The sequence below is a fragment of the Homo sapiens genome, chromosome 11 (assembly GCF_000001405.40).
Source record: "Homo sapiens chromosome 11, GRCh38.p14 Primary Assembly".
In the NCBI taxonomy this organism is placed as follows: Eukaryota; Metazoa; Chordata; class Mammalia; order Primates; family Hominidae; genus Homo; species Homo sapiens.
In genome coordinates, this window is record NC_000011.10 from 100,939,980 (window position 1) to 100,961,481 (window position 21,502).

At 35.1% G+C, this 21,502-nt stretch overlaps 1 protein-coding gene across 5 annotated transcripts in view, besides 1 other annotated feature; it reads left to right on the top strand.

Moving 5' to 3' along the window:
* The window catches only part of ARHGAP42 (Rho GTPase activating protein 42), a 306,654-nt gene that overhangs the window by 252,692 nt on the left and 32,460 nt on the right, over positions 1 to 21,502 (top strand). For all 5 annotated transcript variants that reach the window (NM_001367945.1, NM_152432.4, XM_011542616.3 and 2 more), the window contains 6 exons: positions 1,805 to 1,905; positions 3,780 to 3,889; positions 8,478 to 8,556; positions 9,938 to 9,977; positions 19,904 to 19,966; positions 20,936 to 21,010. In NM_001367945.1, the coding sequence (NP_001354874.1) occupies positions 1,805 to 1,905; positions 3,780 to 3,889; positions 8,478 to 8,556; positions 9,938 to 9,977; positions 19,904 to 19,966; positions 20,936 to 21,010 (468 nt within the window). The remainder of the gene's footprint in view (positions 1 to 1,804; positions 1,906 to 3,779; positions 3,890 to 8,477; positions 8,557 to 9,937; positions 9,978 to 19,903; positions 19,967 to 20,935; positions 21,011 to 21,502) is intronic.
* Positions 11,646 to 11,815: an enhancer, noted in NCBI's record as "experimental_18498 CRE fragment used in MPRA reporter constructs". NCBI's record gives its function as "activates a minimal promoter by MPRAs in K562 erythroleukemia cells, with activity observed for both the introgressed and non-introgressed 11:100822441 variant alleles {active_cell/tissue: K562}" and the evidence as "EXISTENCE:reporter gene assay evidence [ECO:0000049][PMID:34662402]".

Genomic DNA, 21,502 nt, shown 5'->3' on the forward strand with positions numbered 1-21,502 from the left:
TCCAGTCACTTTCCACTAATTAGCTCGTAAGTCTTTAGGTATTTTACATCACATGTAACAGAATTATCAACAAGTATTATTAAGTATTATAGTGTGAAATGGTCCCCAAATGGAATTGCAGTTAATTGTAATAATCTTTTGTGATTATAAAGTATATGACTGCACCCTGTAATTTTAAAATCTGGAGTGGCTTAAGTATTAAACTCGATACCGAGGGCATTATTATTAAAGAAAAAAATTAAATGGCTCATGAAACACTTTTCTCAAGAGGTACTTTTTTAAATTTCAATTTCTTTCTTTTAAACATGGTTCTGAAATGAAGCCAGCAAAAACATGTGCATAGTAGCTGCTAGAAAAATTCAGATGTTAAGCAAGATGGGTCCCTGGATGGAGATGCTATTCATATGTAGAAAACAAGCTCCATTTTCGATCCACTCAGTCCACTATGGTGTTTGGGTGCAGGATACTTGGCTTCCCTATGGGAAAACTGAAGGTCTTCCACCTTGGTCATGGAAACATTGAACTACCAATGCATTCTACGCCCTGATAAATTCCCTAAGGAGAATACTGGACAATAACATGGGTGCTATGGGAAAGGGTTACATGGTATTTTTGGGGGAAAAGAAAGTGAACATTACACATACAAGTTTCTTCTCATATAAATAGTGGAAATTATTTTCATTTTAAAGAGTAATTTGAACTTGTTTTTTCCAGATTAGGAGTAAGAGGAAATAACTCTAAGGTCAGTAGAGTCTTAGAACTTAGTGAAGTCTTAGATGCGTGATTCATTCCTTTATTCATTATTCATTTGTCAATATTGACTGACAACTATCTGTCTGGCTCTGTTGTAAGGATTAAGAACTCATATTCTAGTCAGTTGAACATCACATGTTCCTGCTCACATAGATTCATAAAATCTTGTGGCAGAGACACACAATAAATGGCTTAAATTAGTAAAACAAATCATATTTCAGACAGTGATAACCGCTAAGAAGAAATGAAAGCAAGAAAGAGAGATAAGTATTAAGGTGAGGGTGTTTAGATCTTAGGTATCTCTCCAGGAAAGGCCATATTATGAAAGTGACATTTAGGAAAAGGCCTGAAGGGAGGTAACAGTGCAAGTCATGCAGGTATCTAAAGGAAAAGTAGTCCAGGCCTGGGAAACAGCAACTACAAATGCCCTTGGGTAGGAATGCCTCCATTGTGTTCAAAGACCAGCAAGGCGGGCAGTGTAGCTGGAGCTGAGTGCACAAGGCAGAAAGCAGTGGGATGTGAGATGGAGAAAAGAATGTGGGAGGCCACTCACTTGGAACCTTGTGGATAATAGGCTCTTTGATTTTTATCGGGGGTAAGATGGGAAGGCACTAGAGGGTTCTGAACAAAGGAGTGAAATGGCCTGGCTAAATTTTTAACACTATATTTCTGACAGTTATGAGAGTAAAGTATACAGGTAGAAGTAAGGACACCATTTTAAACAACTCGGACTCATTCCTCATTCTTCCTACCTCTATGGAGTACAAGTATACCACTTTTTCAGGTGGGATAACTGAAGTTCAGATCCAAAGTAACTCACAAGTTTTACAAAGTCGGTGTCAGAGCTGCAAGCAGAGCCACGTTGTCTGATTCTAAGACACTCTACCCTATACCGCTGTCCCTCTGTTCTTTCTCATGCACAGTAAATGTTACAAACTAGCATGGTATAGGAGAGATAATCGGTTGTATATCATAGCACTGGAGAATGTGCAAACTTTGATACAAATCATTTATTAACAAAATCTGAAATTTTTTTGTTTCCTTACATTAGGACCGCTTGGTTTTACATGGATTAAACATTATTGTACATATGATAAGGGAAGTAAAACATTTACAATGAGTGTTTCAGAAATGAAATCCAGTGGGAAAATGGTGAGTTAGTTTTGTTTTCTGTTTGTTTTTTAAACTGTTCATTATTTAAGTAATGGAATTAAAACAAAAAAATCACATTTGTTTCTCTAGTTAACATGTACACATTTACAAAAAAATAGAAGGTCAAAGGTTTTCTCTCATTTTTGTGACGTGAATGACTTGAAAAGAGTAGCCAGGGTCTTCCTTTAACTTGGCCATGGCATATTTATAAGCAGTCGAGTTAAATGTAGGGATCCTTCAGTAGATTACAGAGGTGTCATCTCACATTTCCGGCAGCAGAGTTATTTGTCTATGCTGTTGGTTGGCTAGCAGCCCAGGAAGGGACTGTCAGTGGCTGGAACAGGCTCAAGGATTCTGTATCTTTCCCCTGAGTGGCCTCTGAGGGAGGCTACATTTGCCCCTGCATGCCTTGTCCCCTTCTGCACTGCATACTGTTAACCAAAATGCTGGCTAACAAGCTTTCTCAGAAGAACCCAATAGATGCTCATTTACCCGAAAAGTAAATTGGTCACTGAAGGTCTCACATGGCTAGTGAACAGTATAGAATACAATGTACTTTGTTTGAGGAAATGCTGCAGAGAGCTTTATTGTCTGTGGCATATAATCTTCTTGTGAGTTAAAGTATGAATATGGCAAATGATTGAACTTTTGAATTAATTAGGTCACAATCTGAGCACGCTGAAGCTGGGAGTTACACTAGAGATAATTAGTCCAGCCTTATTTTAACAGATTAGGAAATAAAGTTAGTATAAAGTAAGTGCCTCGCCCAATTAGTGGCATAGATCATGGCAGAGGTAAATGTTGATCTAACTTAGACACATACTCAAATATGTCAGTTGAAACTTATTGTACTTGGGCATTCATCAGAGTCTAATAATTCAAACTGAAAGACATAAAATAAAGGAGAACATAACCAGAGAAAAAGAAACCTTAGTTGCTACCATCCTGGGAAGTTACTAAGTGCCATAACACACCTAGTTTCTACTCTAATAGTTACTACTGTAAATCCAACTTATGTGACAGTGAGTTAATAATGTAAGTAGACCAAGCCAAAGTTCTATTAATCAATTGATGACATTTGTAGCCAAAGATAGAATTAACCATACATTCTGTAAATGTTCCCCTTAACATAGACTGGCATCTCAGTGACAAAAGAGAATTCCTATGAATGTGGCCTATGTTGGATCTTGTCCAGAGAGTCAGTTTTAGTAGCGGTGTAGCAGTGGGTTACCAGCAAAACAATCACATTGTATTAGGTTGGTGCAAAAGTAATTGCTTTTTTTCCCATTACTTTTAATGGGAAAACCATAATTACTTTTGCACCAACCTGATATACATGGTAGCAATACTATTATATCATGTATATACTGGAACTATATTATTTCCGTAGCTCTCTTGTAAACCTGAGCTAGTTATCATTTAAGGCTCTAATACAAAGACACACATATGATACTAATCTCTTTGCAATCCAGGGAGTTTTGATTAAGAGCACCAAATGTATCCTAACAAGCACTCTGTATATCCAATTGTGATGTTAAGTGACTGTGTAACTTCATACGTTTTCTAAATCTAAGAATTGAGGGATTGTACATTATAGTATAATTTAACATTGTAAGTAAATATGTTGAAGGTTACTGGACAGGCATGTTACATAATTCTTTTAAATAAAACATGCATATGCCATTAATTAAATGGTTTTATGTATTATGATCGGACAGCTAACATCAGGAATAAAAAAAGACAGGGTATGATTGTGACCTTTATACATAACCTATACTGTTAAACATTTTAATGTGGCAACTTGAGCTCACATATTTAATATATTTCAATTCACTTGTCAGCATGTTAATACTGTGGTACTCTTCTTGTTTCAGAATGGCCTTGTTACTAGCTCACCGGAAATGTTTAAATTAAAATCTTGTATCCGACGAAAGACAGATTCAATTGACAAACGATTCTGCTTTGACATAGAAGTAGTTGAAAGGTTTGAGCTGTTCTTTTCACTTTATTTTTTTCATAAGCTAAACGGTGTCTCTTTCTGTATTTAAATATAAACATGAAACAGCATTCAAGTGTTTTTTAGTCTTTTAAAAAACAGTATACATGTTTATCTCTTTCTTTCATGTTGTTATTACATGATGCTTTCGAAAAAGCAAATCAGATCCATGATGCTAGAAAACAGTAGCATCACTCAAAGCAGAATCTGAAAAATCAATATAAATGACTGTATTAGGAGAAAGTGCATGTAGTGGCCTCATGGTCCCCATCATCATGAAGGAATCCAATGGCATATTTCATGGCTCCAGGATCAGCCTTTTGGTGGGCTTTGGAAGCTTGGTGGCCTTGCTTCTAAGGAATAAGATGCAGGTGGGAATACTATAAGCTTCTTTCAGCCAACTAAGTTTAATGCCTCCAGGATGCCTCCTGTGTGCAAAGCACTGTTCCGGGTATTCTTAGCCCAAAGTATTGGAAGAGATATAAATGTCGTGAATCTAAGTGTATAATTTAAGTTTACAATAAGAATGGGTATGCTTCTTGCTCTCTGCTCTGTAATCCATGATCTATCTTTCTTCTCCTGCATTAGTGCCACAATATTCTAAATACACTAGCTTATTGTGTGTATCCATGTATACCCTTTGTATATGATGACTTTCTATATATGCTCATAAACTACAGCCTATAGCTACAGGCATACCTCAGAGATATTGCAGGTTAGGTTCCAAACCACTGTAATAAAGCGAATATCATAATAAACTGAGTCACAGAAATTTCTGAGTTTCTCGGTGCATATAAAAGTTATGTTTATGCTACACTGCAGTCCATTAAGTGTGCAATAGCATTATGTGTAAAAAATATACATCCCTTAAAATATTTTAAGTAATGTGAATGGTCATCTGAGTCTTTAGTGAGTAGTAATTTTTTTGCTGGTGAAGGATCTTGCCTCGATGTTGGTAGCTGCTAACTGATCAGCATGGTGGTTACTGAAGGATGGGGTGGCTGTGGCCATTTTCTTAAAATGAGACAGCAATAAAGTTTGCCACATCAATTGAATCTTCATTTCAACAAAGATTTCTCTGTACCATGCAATGCTGTTTGATAGCATTTTACTCAGTAGGGCGTCTTTCAAAATTGGAGTCAGTCCTTTCAAACCCTGCCCTACTGCACTGTCAGCTAAGTTTATATGATATTCTAAATCCGTTGTTGTCATTCAAAAACGTTTATAGCATCTTCACCCGGAGAAGATTCCATCTCAGTAAACCACTTTCTTTGCCCATCCATAAGAAGCAACTAGTCCTTTCAAGTTTTATTATGAGATTGCAGCAATAAAGTCACATTTTCTAGAAGGCTCCACTTCTAATTCTAGCTTTTTTGCTATTTTCACTACATCTGCAGTAACTTCCTCCACTGAAGTCTTGAACCCCTCCAACTCATCCCTGAGAGTTGGAATCAATTCTTTCAAACTGCTGTTAATGTGGATATTTTGGCTTCCTCCCACGAGGGACAAATGTTCTTAATGACATCTAAAGTGATGAATCCTTTCTAGAAGGTTTTCAGTGTACTTTACCCAGATCCATTAGAGGAATCACTACTTATGGCCGTGAAAGCCTAATGAAATGTGTTTCTTAAATAATAAGACTCAGAAGTCTAACTTATTCCTCTTATTCCTTGATCCATGTGCTACATAATATATGTTGTGTCAGCAGGCATGAATATATTATTCTCCATTTAAATCTCTATCAGAACTCTTGGGTGACTAGTTGCATTGTCAATGGGCAGTAATATTTAGAAATAAACCTCTTTAATCAGAAGGTCTCAACAGTGGCTTAAAATATTCAGTAAACCTTACTGTAAACAGATGTGCTGTCATTCAGCCTTTATTGTTCCATTTGTAGAGCACAGGTAGAGTAGATTTAGCATAATTTTTAAGAACCCTAGGATTTGCAGAATGATATATGAACATTGGCTCTGACTTTAAGTCACCAGTTACATTAACCTCTAACAAGAGTCAGCCTATTTGAAGCTTTGAGGCCAGATAGTGACTTCTTTCTATTTGTGGAAGTCTTAAATGAGGGCATCTTCCAACAGAAGGCTATTTCATCTACATTGAAAATCTGTTGTTTACTGTAGCCACCTTCATCCATGATTGTAGCTAGATCTTCTGTATAACTTGCTGCAGCTTCTACATCAACTCTTACTGCTTCATCTTATACTTTTATATTATGCAAATGGCTTCTTTCCTCAAACATCATGAACCAACTTCTGCTAGGTTCATACTTTTTTTCTGCAGCTTACTCACCTCTCTCAGCCTTCATAAAATTGAAGACAGTCAGGGCCTTGCTGTGGAAAAGGCATTGGCTTAAGAGAATGTTATGGCTGGTTTGATCTTCTATACACACCACTAGAACTTTCCCCATGTCAGTAGTAAGGTTGTTTTGATTCCTAGCGTTTGTGTATTCACTGGAGTGGCACTTTTAATTTCCTTTAATAATTTTTCCTTTGCATTCACAGCTTGGCTAACTGATTGGCACAAGAGACCTAGTTTTTAGGCTATCTTGGGTTTCAACATGTCTTTCTCACTAAGTTTGGTCATTTATAGCTTTTGATTTAACATGAGAGACATGTGAATCTTCCTTTCCCTTGAACACTTAGAGGTCATTGTGAGATTATTGATTGGACTAATTTTAATATTGTTGTATCTCAGGGAATAGGGAAGCTAAGGGGAGGGAAAGAGATGGGGAAATGGCCAGTCAGTGGAGCAGTGGCACACACAACTTTTATTGACTGTTTGCCATCTTATGTGGACATGGTTAATGGCACCCCAAAATAATGACAATAGTAATATCAAAGATCACTGTTCATACATCACATGATAGATATAATAACAATGAAAAATTCCAAATATTGCAAGAATCACCAAAATGTGATACAGAGACACGATGTGAGCAAACGCTCTTGGAAAAATGGTGCTGATAGACATGCAGAACACAGGGTTGACACAAACAAACCATCAATTTGTTAAAAATGCAGTATCTGCAAAGCTCAATCAAGCAAAGAGAAATACATCAAGGTTTGCCTGTATCTAGTAGGGCAATGACTGTATTCCTAGGCTGCTGTAAACTGTGTTGACTCTTTTGCTCTGTGTTCTTATGATTTTTAAGATCCACTTACTAAGTTTCTCCTTGTTTCTCAAAATATCTTTTGGGATTTTGACTGAAGTTGCAGTAAAGTCTTCAATGGGTGTGGAATTAACCTCTTTTTGAATATTTTACATATCTTTTTTCAAATTTACTTTTGAGTACCTTCTTTTTATTGTTGTTTTGAATAGGATTCTTCTTTATGAGTTGAATTTTGTTTTCCTAAATGGTTAAGACTACTGCATAAAGAGGCTGTTAGTTTATTTATATATAATTCTCTTATCTGACCTATTTGCTGAACTATTTATTAGTTTTAATAGTTTTGTGTAGATATTTCTGGATTTTCTATGTAGACAAATACCAACATGTTAATGCTTTGTCTTAACACATTCCGGTTATATAACCTTGGAGCACTTTATTAAACTCTGTACTTAGGTTTTTTCATCTTTAAATTAAGGATAATAAGTACCCACCTCAAAGAATTGTTTTCAGGATTAAATGAGAGAATTAAGGAAACATAACACAGTGCCTGTCACATAGTAAATATCCAACAAATACTGATTTTCAATATTTTATTTTTGGTATTACTACACTGGCTTAAATTCTCCAACATCAGATTATCTTGATATATATTCAAGATTCTCATGATCTGTGTTCTTGTTTGCAGAAGAGATGTATGTTATTATTTGTCATTCCAGGTTTTTAATTATAAAATATTTATAATAAAATTTCCATCTGAATGTTCTTCACAGATCCCTCAATTTTCTGTTTAACTAAGTTAATTCCTTTGTTTCTAATATTTTATATCTTTTCCTCCATATGCTAGTTTTCTCCCTTCCTCTCCCTAGTCTTTGTTTCTTTCTTGAAGTATATCCTCAAGTAACTATTTCAGAATGACTGCATGGGAGAGAATTATTTTTAAATGAATTCATTTCAATATTGTCATCATGGTACAGAGAAATGCTTTGGTTTTAGTGTCTTTTTACCTGTTACCTAGTTATGATATGAGGCTTTCCACATTGTTCCATATTAATTGTAATTGTTTTTAGTGACTAGACTGTACCACATCAGGGTCAAGTTCTCATATTGTGGAATTCATAGATGGCTTTGAAGAATGTAACTTTTTCATCCTTTTTGATCATTTCAAGGGAAATAGTTTGAAACTAGTCTCCTTCAGACTGTCCTGTACCAAAAACACTTAATGATTTTATCACCTGTGATCATTAGAATTAAAAACATTTTTTGCATGCCTAGTGATTTTTCTGAAAGTATTATACTTCAGTCTTTTTCTTTTTTAGAAAAATTCCTATGTTTTTCTCCTCTGTCTTCATTTCTCTTTTCTCTTAACTTTTTTTCTTCAAATTTTATCTTTTTAGTTAACTGAGAATTTAAAAAGTAGTAAATGTGTAAATATAGAAAATATTTGTTTTTAAATAGGCATGGGATCATCACGTTACAGGCCTTCTCAGAAGCTAATAGGAAACTCTGGCTTGAAGCCATGGATGGGAAGGAACCGGTAAGACTATGACACATTCTATAATTTAGGTTTTATTGTCCTAATAATTATAATGTATGGAAATTCTTTTCATAGTATACAATGTTTTGCCTGTAGTATAATTGAAAATATTAAAAAAGGAAATCAGGGGAGTAGAGACTTTTATGGTTTCCTAGTCTCACTCATGGCCCATAACTCTACCTTTCTGACTTATTTTATAAGGGGACTTTTGGGACTAATTTAAAACCCTAAAATTACTTCTTAAAAAATTACTTACACTCATCACCTTGGCTCCACCCATTAGGTTAGCTTATTCAGTTAATAATGATCGCATGCCCAGTCTTTGCAAGGCCTGTGCTAGGCATGTGATTAGAGTGATGAACAAGGTTCAGGGTAAGAACTGATTCTCTAATCAAGACCATTTTTAAAAAGTATAACTTAATAAAACTGCCTGTGGCTTGACATTTTCACTTCCATACATATCCCCATTTTTAATAGTTATTTTGAAATTGTATGATAGTCTACTTACAAAAAATAGGAAGGCTTACGTAAAAAGGAGGCTGAATCATTCATCACTGTCTGTTTTCTTAAAGAACACTGTTACTAGATCAGTAGAGGGTGAACACACAGAGGAAATAAGAGTCGCCATCCTGTTACTTGAGAACCATTCTTTAGATGGCAAAGAACCTGTACAGCAATAGTGCCAAACAAAGTGTGGTCCTCAGACTTTGAGACCCTCCCTCAAACTGTGTTACCAGTCCACAGTAAGATCAGTACAGAAATTGTGATTCAGCCTTTAGAAAATCCTGTAGCCACTTGGGTTATTTTAAGCCTGTTAAATTTAATTTAAAAATTGGAACTCTGCATTGATTTTTTTGTTATTTTCTATTTCAATTTTATTATATTTTACACAAATGTGAATAATAGATTTAAAAGAAAATTCACTCTTTACCAGAAATAGTTGAGAAGCCCTGACTTAGAGCAAATTTAGGGAATAGTTTGTTAGCCCAACAATGTACAAGTTAGGATTGTGTACATTGAGAACAGGCTAAGCAGGAAATTGGAAGAAGGAGCAATTCCGGAAATCCATTATGAGATACTTCCTGAGAAAGGCTCATTATGCATCATACTGGGGCAGAGAATAAGATGCTTAAATGAGATGGAGGTAGAACCTTGTCCAGGGCAGCACAGCCACGGATGGAAAAGGAGTGGGAAGTGAGGGTGGGTGAACCACAGGAAGGAAGTTGGTTGATGGTACACAGGTGGTGCTGTGGACACAGCAGTTGTAGGACCTTGAAATCAAGACACTCTTTTCATCTATTAGTGTACAGATATCACCTTGCTAATCTTTTGTGCTGGGTCATTAACTGGAAGTAACTAATGGACATCCTTTGTTTTTTAGATTTATACTCTGCCTGCCATTATAAGCAAGAAAGAAGAAAGTAAGTCATTTTAATAGTTATTTAAAATTTTATCATGAAGTTATTTTTAACACAAAAGCATTAGGTGATTGTAAGTATTCTGGGGAAATAGTATAACACCATTGATCTCATGGTACAGCAACTTTGAAATTTTTATTTAAAATGTTTCTCATGTTAAAACCACAAACTTCTGATGTTACAGTAACAAAAGTTAATTTTTATTTCTTTGGTGTTTACTTATTTACATGCCTTGGTTTATCTCTGATAGAGATTTGAGAAAGTTGATATTTAGCTCAATTATTTATATAAAATATATAATATATAATTATATTATATTTTTATTATATATTAAATATATTATATATTAATAAATATATAATTATAATCAAGCTAAATCATATATAATTATATATAAATACTGTATTTATTTATCTATATCAATATAAATATATAACACAGTGGAGAGCTTCTTTGTCTTATTTTCTCTGCTCCAGTTTTCTTACAGGTATAAGACTGCAGACATAAACACTTCTTGCTGGTTTTAGTGGATAGTGGCTAAGAATGTAAAATATAAGGACCTTGTCATTACACATGGTATATGTTGGAAAAGATGTTTTTACTGTATTATTAGTAAATCATTAGTTTGTAGCCATTCTTTATAAACACAGTTTATATGTTTTTCATCATGTTCTGAATCCTCTTTAATTACCTGCCAACTTCTTGCTATCTTTTATCTGTGGTTAGTTTAGGGTATTTTCATAAGTGCTTTACATAGTCATTTTACTTGATATTTAAAATTAATTTGTGTATTTGTTTCTAGGGTTATGTATATAACTTTGAAAGCAATTCCAAGTTTTATGTAATGCAATGGATTTTGTCTTATGGCTTCTAAATTTATTTTTCAAACAAACTCAATAACCCTGACATTTACTTTTCTTATTTATTTTATTTTTATTTTTTAATAGAGATGAGGTCTCATTTTGTTGTCCAGCCTGGTCTCTAACTATTGGCCTCAATTAACCTTCCCACCTTGGTCTCCCAAAGTGCTGGGATTACAGGCATGAGCCACTGTGCCTGGCCAACCCTGACATTTAGATTGCTGTGGAAATATGAGTTAGAATGGAATAAATATAAACTAGGAAAGCACTCATTTGAAAGTTATAAATATTGAATGTATTAAAAACCTATTATTTTATCTGAATTAAATGCTTTCTAGTGATTAACTTCAGAAATTATCAAAAGAAAATGCATGATATAAAAGATGTTTCAATAATTAAATAACATAATTTAAAAATTATTTTTAAATAATATTTTAAAAAACTATTTCCAGTTTTTATTCTCACATTTACTTCCTTATTGGAATCAAGGAAAGTGATTAGTATAAAATCCTTTATTGCCAACTTTTATCTAATCACAGATACATTAACCAAATGGTGAGAGTTTTGTATGTACTGAATGTTCATTCTAAATAATTACCTAAAAAATAATCTTTTGTATAAATTGCATTTGAGAAGAGTGTGAAATGTGTTTTCTAACATTAGTTTGATTGTTGATATGCACTATAAGGTTAGTCCTTTCAAATTCAAATTACCCAAGGACAAATCCTTCATGGAAGACAATTGCACCTATATACAGTGTTGAGTAGGGCTTCTGAATGGTGGCATAGTCAAGTTGATCAGAATATACTGATGCTTAATTAAATGTACCACCAAAACTAATGTACTTATGATGGAGAGGGAGTCTGCATCTTCATGCAGTACAGAATCATTCTTCTGGAAATAGGTATCCTGCAGTGTCAGCCACCAGAAACATCACTGTGCCTTCAATTATAATTATAAAATGGTGTGCGTTTCAGAAAAATAGCAGTGCTAGAGTGTGTGTGTTTATATCATGTCTCACACTCTGGCTTTTTGTATGGTATATTAGTTTCCTACCCAGTACTCTGAGCTCCTTGTGACAGAACCCGTCTCTTCTCCATAGTAGTCAATACAGGCCTTTCCTGAGACATGTGCTGAGCACAGATGTGCTCTTATTTTTCTCATTAGTACCAGTAGGCTTTTATTACCCAAGGGAAGATTTTTGGTTACAGAAGAAATATTACAAGCTTCTACTTTAGTGCTTAAAGTTATGAATCTTAAGCTTTATTTTTAAGTTTTATTTTTAATATTTGATTTATTTTAAGCCATATTTTTACTTGAAGCCTGTTTTTAATCAGTATACAGATCTTATTTGTAATTGCACTAACTTTTAAAACTAAGTCGTTTTCACTTTATTTTGTTTTCATAAATCTGACAGAATTCTCCCATTTGTACATTTAATTAGTAAAGTTTCCTTAAGACATATCAACTGATGACAAAATAGTGAATTTTATTCTCTCAAAGTCACCCTAATTAGACTGATTTGTGATCCTGACAAATATAATCTTTTCAACACCTAGCAACTTTTTTAATCTAATAAATCACTTTATAAATGCAGATTAAGTATTATGTTGAAATTAAGTATTGTAAACCTTCTAAATAAATACACTCAATTGCATAGTGATTTCAAAAGGTCTTACTACTTTTGCATAAACTAAACTTATTGAAAAATACACTTATTTTTAGCTGTCACACACATGGGGATTCAAATTTGCTCACCCAAACAGAATCACTACCCTGTTGAAAAGTCAAGACTATGGCAGGTGCTACCAATGAAAGAAACCCTGGCTCAAAGGCACAGGATTGGACTCACTTTCCAGAATTTAGCTGCCAGCACCTCTGGGGTGGACATTGTGGTATTACTAATTCACCTAAGTCAGGCTTTTTTTTTTTGAGATGGAGTCTCACACTGTTGCCCAGGCTCAAGTGCAGTGGCAAGATCTCAGCTCACTGTAACCTCCGCCTCCTGGGTTCAAGCAATTCTCCTACCTCAGCCTCCCAAGTAGCTGGGATTACAGGCACATGCCACCACGCCCAGTGCCCAGCTGATTTTTGTGTTTTTAGTAGAGATGGGGCCTCACCATGTTGGCCATGTTGGTATCAAACTCCTGTCGAACTCCTCGGGTAAATTTGTGTTTCAGTGATTGTGAAATTCTTATACCTGTTAGGTCTTGAATAAGTCATGTGAGCTCATTGTGTTAAGTGCTTAAATCAGTTTATATCTTTCTTTTTGTCAGGCGCTCTAACCATTTTTTTGTACATCATCCTGTTCTTGAGATCTTGTATTTCTTTTTAGTTGATATTTGACTCCCCTAAAGGTAGCATTGCATCAATTTCAGTATGTAACTTCTCCTGTAACTGGTATTGGAAACCAGTACCAGCCCTAACTCACCGGCCACTTCGAAGAGTACTCATTTATATCCTCCATAATTCAGATGGCTTCCACTTATTCTAAAATACTCTTGTTGTCCTTTGGAAACTCAGTTTTGCATAATATGTATTTGTGTTTTTGAACTGCTGAAGACAATGAAGTTTAGGATGGTAAAATATATAACTTAGGTAAACGTTTGTTTGAATGCCAGCCATTTAGAAGCAATCATAACATCTGTGCCTTCACTGAAAATCCTACAAGCAACAGTGTGAGAAATATCTAATGTTCTAAAATAGGGCCATAGTATGAATTTACAGAGAACAAATGCCATAGAATGAAGAATAAAACTATGCTGTGACTGTAGTTTCATGCTACTCTTTGTGAGACTAACATGCAAAAGTCTTCCTACCTTGTATTAATAGTTACTCTTAATTTACCATTTTCAAAGTATGGATGCCATAAATGAGACTTGAAAAGGAAAGCTTGAATCACCTTTATGAAAAAACATCAAATAAGAAAATAAAATATTGGTCAATGACAGGGTATTGAATTTACAAATACTTTTCTGGTTGTAAAATATGCTGCAATATCCATGAAATTGTAAGACTTTGGGAATGAATTTATTTTTGTAGTAGTAATATCTATCATCAGTATTAAACAGATGCCATTCAATTAAGATTAGCACTAAACTAGTCCTCAAGCCATGACACTGGGGACATTTGGTAAAAAGTAGCTCACCCATATGTTTTCTGTAGTTCTGCCATTTGAATACATCTTTCAAAGGAACAAATTACATTTTATGACATACCTTTCCTGCCCCAAGACCTCCATCTTGGAACAGTCATTTACAGAGGCAAAAGCAGTTAACATTTCTTCTAGGCTTTCTTTCTCTGACATTCTCAATTGGTGCCCTGAGCCTTGTCCCCATTCAAATATGAGTTTTGTGTGATGGCTTCTGAGCTGGTCCTTCAACCCTGGGTCTGGAGAAGGTGAGCACTGTGAAAGAAAAGGCACTTAGATCTCATTCTCTCATGCAGTCAGTTCAAAAATATTCCATTGTGCACCTACTCTACTCCAGGTACTGCGAGTAAGAAAAAGGAAGTTCTTTTCCATTGACTTTCCGCTAATAAAAGTCAATATTTATGTGTGTAATGACAAAGTCACCTAACATTCAGTCCTTATACAAAATTGAAGGGATTGGAACAGAAGATAGTCTTGAAATTTCCCAACAGCTCTAAATTTCTGCTTGTGTGTTTAAGTGGCTTTCCTCAAGTGTACCCGTGTATCTATTCTCCACAGCAATAAGCTTTTTCTTCTTCTCATTCTATGCAGTTACCATCTGTTATGAGTGTTCTTGAGCTTCATATTGTGGTTTAGATAGTTTGGTTCTGGAAGTTCTCAGATGTCCCTAGGTTATCATCCTCCTTCTTTGCCATATAATCCCCTGATCTTTGATCAGTTACAGTTTTGTTTTTATCACAGAGGCCCAAGAAGATGTCATAGCTCAAGTGCTCTTCATGGGCAGAGCAGAATGAAAGAAGAATTTGGGCCAGGGCTATGGAGAGTTAACTGCCCATCCTTAAGGAGCAGAGAAAAGGTCCAGTAGGTATCATGAACACTGATAAATGTACTAATTTATTTTTTATTTATTTCAGTTAACATACAGCATGATATTAGTTATCTGTGATAAGGGACCTTTTAATCTGAAACAGGAGATCAGCAAAGTGAATTAAAAATTAAAGACAAATGTTGCTTTGTTTTGTCAACCCTGAGAATGTACTGTAAGGTCAAGTAGATTACATCTGTAAGGACATACTAGGTTTTGAATTGCTAGGAAATTGAAGGTGTAAGGACTTTTGCTTTGTTAGCTCTGTGGAAGACTATTCTTTTTCCTTTCCTCATGGCTGTTTGAATTCTGTTGAGATTAATAGCTTTTGTGCTGCTAAACTGCCTTATGGAAATTTTTTTAAGGTTTTAATAAAAGCTTTATCCCTGAACAGTTTACAGAGGGGGAAAAAAAAAGGTTTAGGCTTAACTTTTGATTGAATATATTAAGTTGATTAAGTTAGTCTGTCTTCTGCTTCTACCCTCACCCATGAAGGCCAAGTATCATTAATGTTATAGAATTCTAATTCTCATATTACAGAATTTGGTAGTAGTTGTATTCTGGGTATCCCTCTGCTTCTCTCTACAATGGAGGAGATACAGGGCTGGGGTAGGGCTTGGGACTGGGAAAGTGTTCACAAATGTAGCTTATGTAAGCTAATCAACTCTAACCCTAATAGAAACCATCAGAGAAGGTACTTGAGCAATCCTGGTACAAACCAGTAACTAGCAAGCCATCAATCAATAAGCATGTATTGGCTGCCTGCTCTGGGCCAAGCATTGAGCCCAAATCAGCAATCGTTATTTCTCCTGTGTAGGATACTTATCCTCCTCTCCTTGCTGTTGCCCCAGAAGTACCTTGTCCTCCACTGAAGGAGAATTATCATTAATTATCAGCCTTTTTAATGGTGCAATTTGATTTAGTAATAACCCTTTCCATCGACATTTGAACATGAAAGAGTTCCCGGGTGTTTTTGATTTTTTGTTTTTTGTTTTGTTTTTGGATGTTAAGAGGACACGTTTTAGTTGAATTCTCATGAGCACTGATGCATTAAGTATAGTAACCCCTACTTGGCTTTGGAAAACTGGTCATTTTCCATTACAGAATGTGTTTGCCACTGACTTCCCTCAGAAATGACAATCCTTGTGACTACTTCATCCACAGTCATTGGAAGACAAACTATTTTAGCCATCTTGTCCTCTTCTCAGACCTCAGAAGAAATTGCTGGGTGCTCAAGTGAAGGCGCTGTCTATAGTTGATGGTTGTTTGCAAAGCAACCATCAACAGGCACTGCCACTGCTGCTCTTTGCTGCCTTTGTTATGTGAATTGATAAGTCAGTAGTCAAAAGGGACATCATATTCCAGTTAAGGGAGGAAAAGTTCATTGTGTGGGATTGCCTTTATTTCAGTGAGTTTTGCCACAGTGAATTAAGTTATACACAACTAAATCAGAACTGGCCAGGTTATGCTTAGTAATAGATGATCCTCAAGTCTCAGAGGCTGATGACAATATAGGTTCATTTCTTCTTTATAGTACATGTCCATATAGGTCAGCAGTGACTCTCAACATTGTTTTCACTCTGGAACTTGAGTTGATAGAGAAGCCTCCCTTTGTATCATTGCTGATCCTGTGACAAAGGAAAAAGAAAATTGCAAGCCACATACTGGCTCTTAGTGGCTGCTGGGTAAAGACACATGTCACTTCTGTTCATATTTCATTGTTAATGTGTATCACATGACCAAGCCTGGCTTCAAGGGTGCTGAGAAATATAATCTTCTTGCAGGGAGGGACAACAGATAATGGGTAAACAGTAATTTCAGTCTGCTATAGTCTGTTTAGCTCTAGTGAGAGGATATGTTTTTTCATTGTATTTATTGGAGTATAATGAGCACATAGGGACATTTCTTAATATCCAACTTACTATTTTTTCAGTGACTAGGTTCACAGGGCCTGCCTGGTTTATGCCTGATCTATGTCTGTTTGAAGAAACAGATCATTGCTCTATCCATGAATATTTTAAAAATAAGTGACAAAGTGATATATGCCTGTTCAAAAAACAACACTTGTGGCTGACAGTCCCTCAAGCCCCAGTGATTTTAGCCCTGCAGGAAGGATGCCTTATTCATGAAATTTACATATGTAGAGATTTGCATTCTTCTCTAGTCAATAATAATGATAATGATAAGAGCCAATACTCTAAAGCACTTACTATATTCTAAGCATACACTATTCTAGGAGCTTTGCAAATGTTAACTTACTTCATCTTTAAACAGTGCTATGAAGAAGATACTATTATCTTTATTTTGTAGGAGAGGAAACTGAGGCACAGAGATCAAAACCATGCCTAGTAACAGAGCTAATAAGTGGAAGAGTAACTACTGCCCCTCTCATCTAATTAGAACTAATGACTGGCTTCTTTTATAATTTCTTCTTATGTTTTCCTTCATATAGCAGTGATGTGTAGACAGGAGCAGATAGGAAAAAAAAACCTAGCATTGAATTCGTCTTGTTCCATTGTTAGGCACTCTTCCGTTTGTCTTCATCTTACTACAACTGTTTAACTTAGGTATTGTTACTTCCCTCATTTTATAAATGAAGGAACTTGTTTATAAAATAATAGGCACATTTCCCCTACCTCAGACATACAGCAGTGATACTAGAGCTGAGAATTGGCCTTAGGTTTTCCTGGCTTTAAACAAAGCTGTGCACTAACTCTGCACCATGAAACTACTCTTTCAGTCAAAGCAAAGGATGGTCAAAGGAAACAAAAATTCATGGTTATTTTTGCCAACACAGTATATTCTTCCACATCTCTGAATTGGTTGATAATGTTGTATTTACTCACATGACGGGAGCTAAGTACAGGATCCATGGAATATGTCAGAACGGCAGCATCCGTAGAGTAACGCTGCAGTTAGACTGACTCTCAGTAAGATGTCATTCTACATGATGAGCTTGTGATATCAGTTTATTAGAAAAGACTGGAATATTGCTGCCAAATATCCCAGTATACTTTGAGGTACAGCCTGGTTATTACTTATTTTTCTCAAAATGAATACTTAAGAGAGAAATTCTGTTTTATGTCACTACTATCTTCATTCCTTTTTGTTGAAAGGAAGTTCTATTGAAATTTTTTTAAATGGTTGTCTTTTTCTCTTAATATATCTTTTTAGTGAAAAATAGAACAATGTGACCTCTAGTACCAAACATTTTAAATGTCAGGAACTTGCAGTTTTAGTTGATATAAAAATGCTAGTGTCTTGCTTTTACCTAGGGTTACTTTTTTTTGTCTCAGTTTTTGTTGTTGTCCTTAAAACTGAAAATTAAATGATTCCTCACTTTTCCATCTTACCTGTCTCCTATATTCAAAAAGTATTTTAAAATGTCTGAATGCTTAGTGTTATGCTGGGCATTTTGGGGTTATTGGAAGCAAGCAATCTCTCTTTGGTGTCCAAGAAAAGCTTCACTCTCATGTAGGTAGGTCATTAGCTGCACTCTGATGAGATGCCATGGCCATTCATTTTTGTGTGTTGAGTTCACTGAAAGTATTCACTGAGTTCTGTTCTTTTGACCTAGGACACTGGGGACAAAGAAATAAATGAGCCACTTCCCATTGATGGCAATACTTATTTTAGTTTTGACATTTTTATTTCTAGAGTTTTGAAGTTCTTTTTAGAGTACTAAACACATACACACACACACATATATATACACACATATATATATATTTTTCAAAATGTCAAATAATCCCAAAATGCCTAGTGAATTAAAAATGACAATTTCTAACTTTTGCCCTCTTTCTCCTTACCAGTAGTTTGCATATATATTTGTGGAGTTTTTTCTTAGGAAAATAGAAACAGTCATACATACCCTCAAATTTTTACATTTTGAGAAAATAGGCCTTATTGTCCTGTCGATTACTTTTGTCACCTAACAACACATAATAAATACCTCTTCATAGTAGTACCTCTAGTTCCATTGTTAGGCACAGATTTTTCACGCCTTTCTGTCAATCAATTCAGTTCCATTGGCTTGCTGTGCCTAGAATTTTTTTCAGTTTTTAGTTTGTTGCTGTTACCCTTTCTTGATTTTTATCATAATTTTTTTGATATATATTTTTTTGTCTGGGGATCTATTTTGAGTTACAAGAATGTGTTTAATCTACTGTCTTTAAATGGAAGTTAGTTTTAAATTTGTATTGGTTTGAATTCTCCTCATTTATTATTTGAGAATATTTTAAAAATCATGTCACTACCACGTGATGAAAATTTGTATCATAGTTCAAAAAATTTTCAGTTTCTCCTCTGGGTGTTAGTTGGTATTTTTTAAATAAATGCTTTCTCTTTAAATAAGTAATTTAATTTGACCTCGCCCCAAAACCCTTTAAAAAAATTAGAATTGATCCAAAGAAAATCTAGCCAAAAAACAATGAAAATAAATTGCAATTTCATAATCCTAGGACCTTTTGGGGATGTTTAGTGACTGACAATGCATGTTTTGAATTATTTTAAATATGGTAGCAAAATGAAAAATAGAACATGGAGCGTAGAATCAGACCCGAGTTTGAATCCTGACTCTAGAGCTTAAAACTGAGAGCAGTGGAGGTTTTCAGCAACCCAGGGAATCATCTTAAGACTGCAGAGCCTTTTCTTTACCTCATAATGTTTTGAGAATCGCGGGAAAGGATATGTGAAAGGCTTTATAATACAAGTTTCAATACATAATAAGGATTTATTCTTACTGCATTTGCTCCTATCATCTGAAAGAAAACACGTAGTAAAGGAGTAATGCTATTTTTAGGAAAAGTGGATGAGATCATTGTAATATACTTTCTGTGAAGGATCTTAGCAGGTTGATACAATAGCTGTGAGGGTGAAGTTCCCTCCTCTACTTCTACCCCAAAATAAAAAGTCAGCCTCTAACCAAAATATTTGGAAGACTCAGAAAAAACCTCTCTACTGTTGAGTCATAAAGGCCCAGTGAACAGAGCCAACTGAAGGGGGAATGTGAGTTCAGCGTAAACACCTAATGCGATTTCTCTCTTATTTTCAGTGTATTTGAATGAAGCAGGGTTCAACTTTGTGAGAAAATGCATTCAAGCTGTGGAAACAAGAGGTCAGTGTTGCCTGATTGGTACAGCATCCCTGTCATGTGTCTCATTCTTACATGGAAAACTCTCAGAGTAGATAAATCATTGAAGATGTATTTGGTCATTAACATGGATTAATTTTAAGAGTAATATAAATGTATGTATCGGTATACAAATAGCTATACCTTGAGCTTCAGTTTACTAAAAATCATGCTTTAGGCATACTTCTTTTTTAGATTTTTTTCTAATACAGCCTCACTATACTTCTTATTGAGAAGCCCTGCATTATTTATTACTGCAAGCACCTCTTTGATTTTTTTTTTTCCAAGCATTAAGGAGGTAAGATTCTTAAGGAGCTTGTCTTCACTCCCTTCCTTCCTTATAGTCTTTCTTTTACTGATTTGTCACTGCCACAGTTTTGGTACCTTTCTTCGTTTTAATCATGACCTCTGTCTTGAAGTCCACTCCAGTTAAACTTTAAACTCACTTCTAGGAAAATTTGGCTAAAGCAAAATTCATATTGGGTTTTGGAGTTCCATAAACTTATATTTAAATTTTAAGTGCTGCCACTTCAACATTCTGAGAAGTAGTTTCCTTGAATTCTCTGAATCTGTTTCCTCATCTCTAAAATGAAGATATAAATGCCATAGGACTTTTCAACATGCAGGAGGACTCCATGACTCTGAAGAAATAGAATATGAGTAATATCGATCATCCCTTCCCATCTCCATTGCTTTTTTATATTCAAATAATGGTGAATAGGCAGCTACACTTTGCTACTTTGAAGATCTTCAAAGACTTTCAAATCACTGTTCAGTGTCTGCTCTGAGAAATAGAAGTCTGATGGGTATTTCCAGGATAGCTTTGCTAAAGTTAGACTGTGAAATTGGATAAGTAGCTTTCAAATTTTGTTAGGCATATGTCTGAGTTTTTAACATTCTGTACTTGCCAAGCTGTATCTCAAGCCGTTTTCTTGTGATTTTCCTTCCTATTAGGTATCACCATTTTAGGACTCTACCGAATAGGAGGAGTGAACTCCAAAGTTCAAAAACTCATGAATACCACATTTTGTAAGTTTTGGATGAAGCAACTTACATAATTTTTGTGTTCTTATAGGTAATCTAAAGTATGGACTTCTTTGACTAGTGCTTGTCTTTGAATATTTTCAAATAATATTTAAAGTTCATATATGTATTCAGTTTTTAATGTTCATTTATAATAGATGAACGATGAGAATTTGAGGGGGCATTTTTATAATACTGTATTTTTTTTCCCCAAGTGTCCTTTGGTAAGCTAGAGATACAATAAGATGCATGGATGCTAGCTGGAGTCATTTGGAATCCTAGCTCAGCCACTTACAGGTTTTGTGACCTTGAGTAATTTGCTTAACGTCTTTGTGTCTCAGCCTCCTCATTTATAAAAATAGGGATAATAATGGTACCTGCCTCTTAAGAGTTGTGAGGATTGACTATGTTAATCTCCGTAAAGCACTTAGAAGCATGCTAGGCACATGGTAAGTGCTCTGTCATGTTAACAATTAGCAATAATTTCATTTGGGAGAC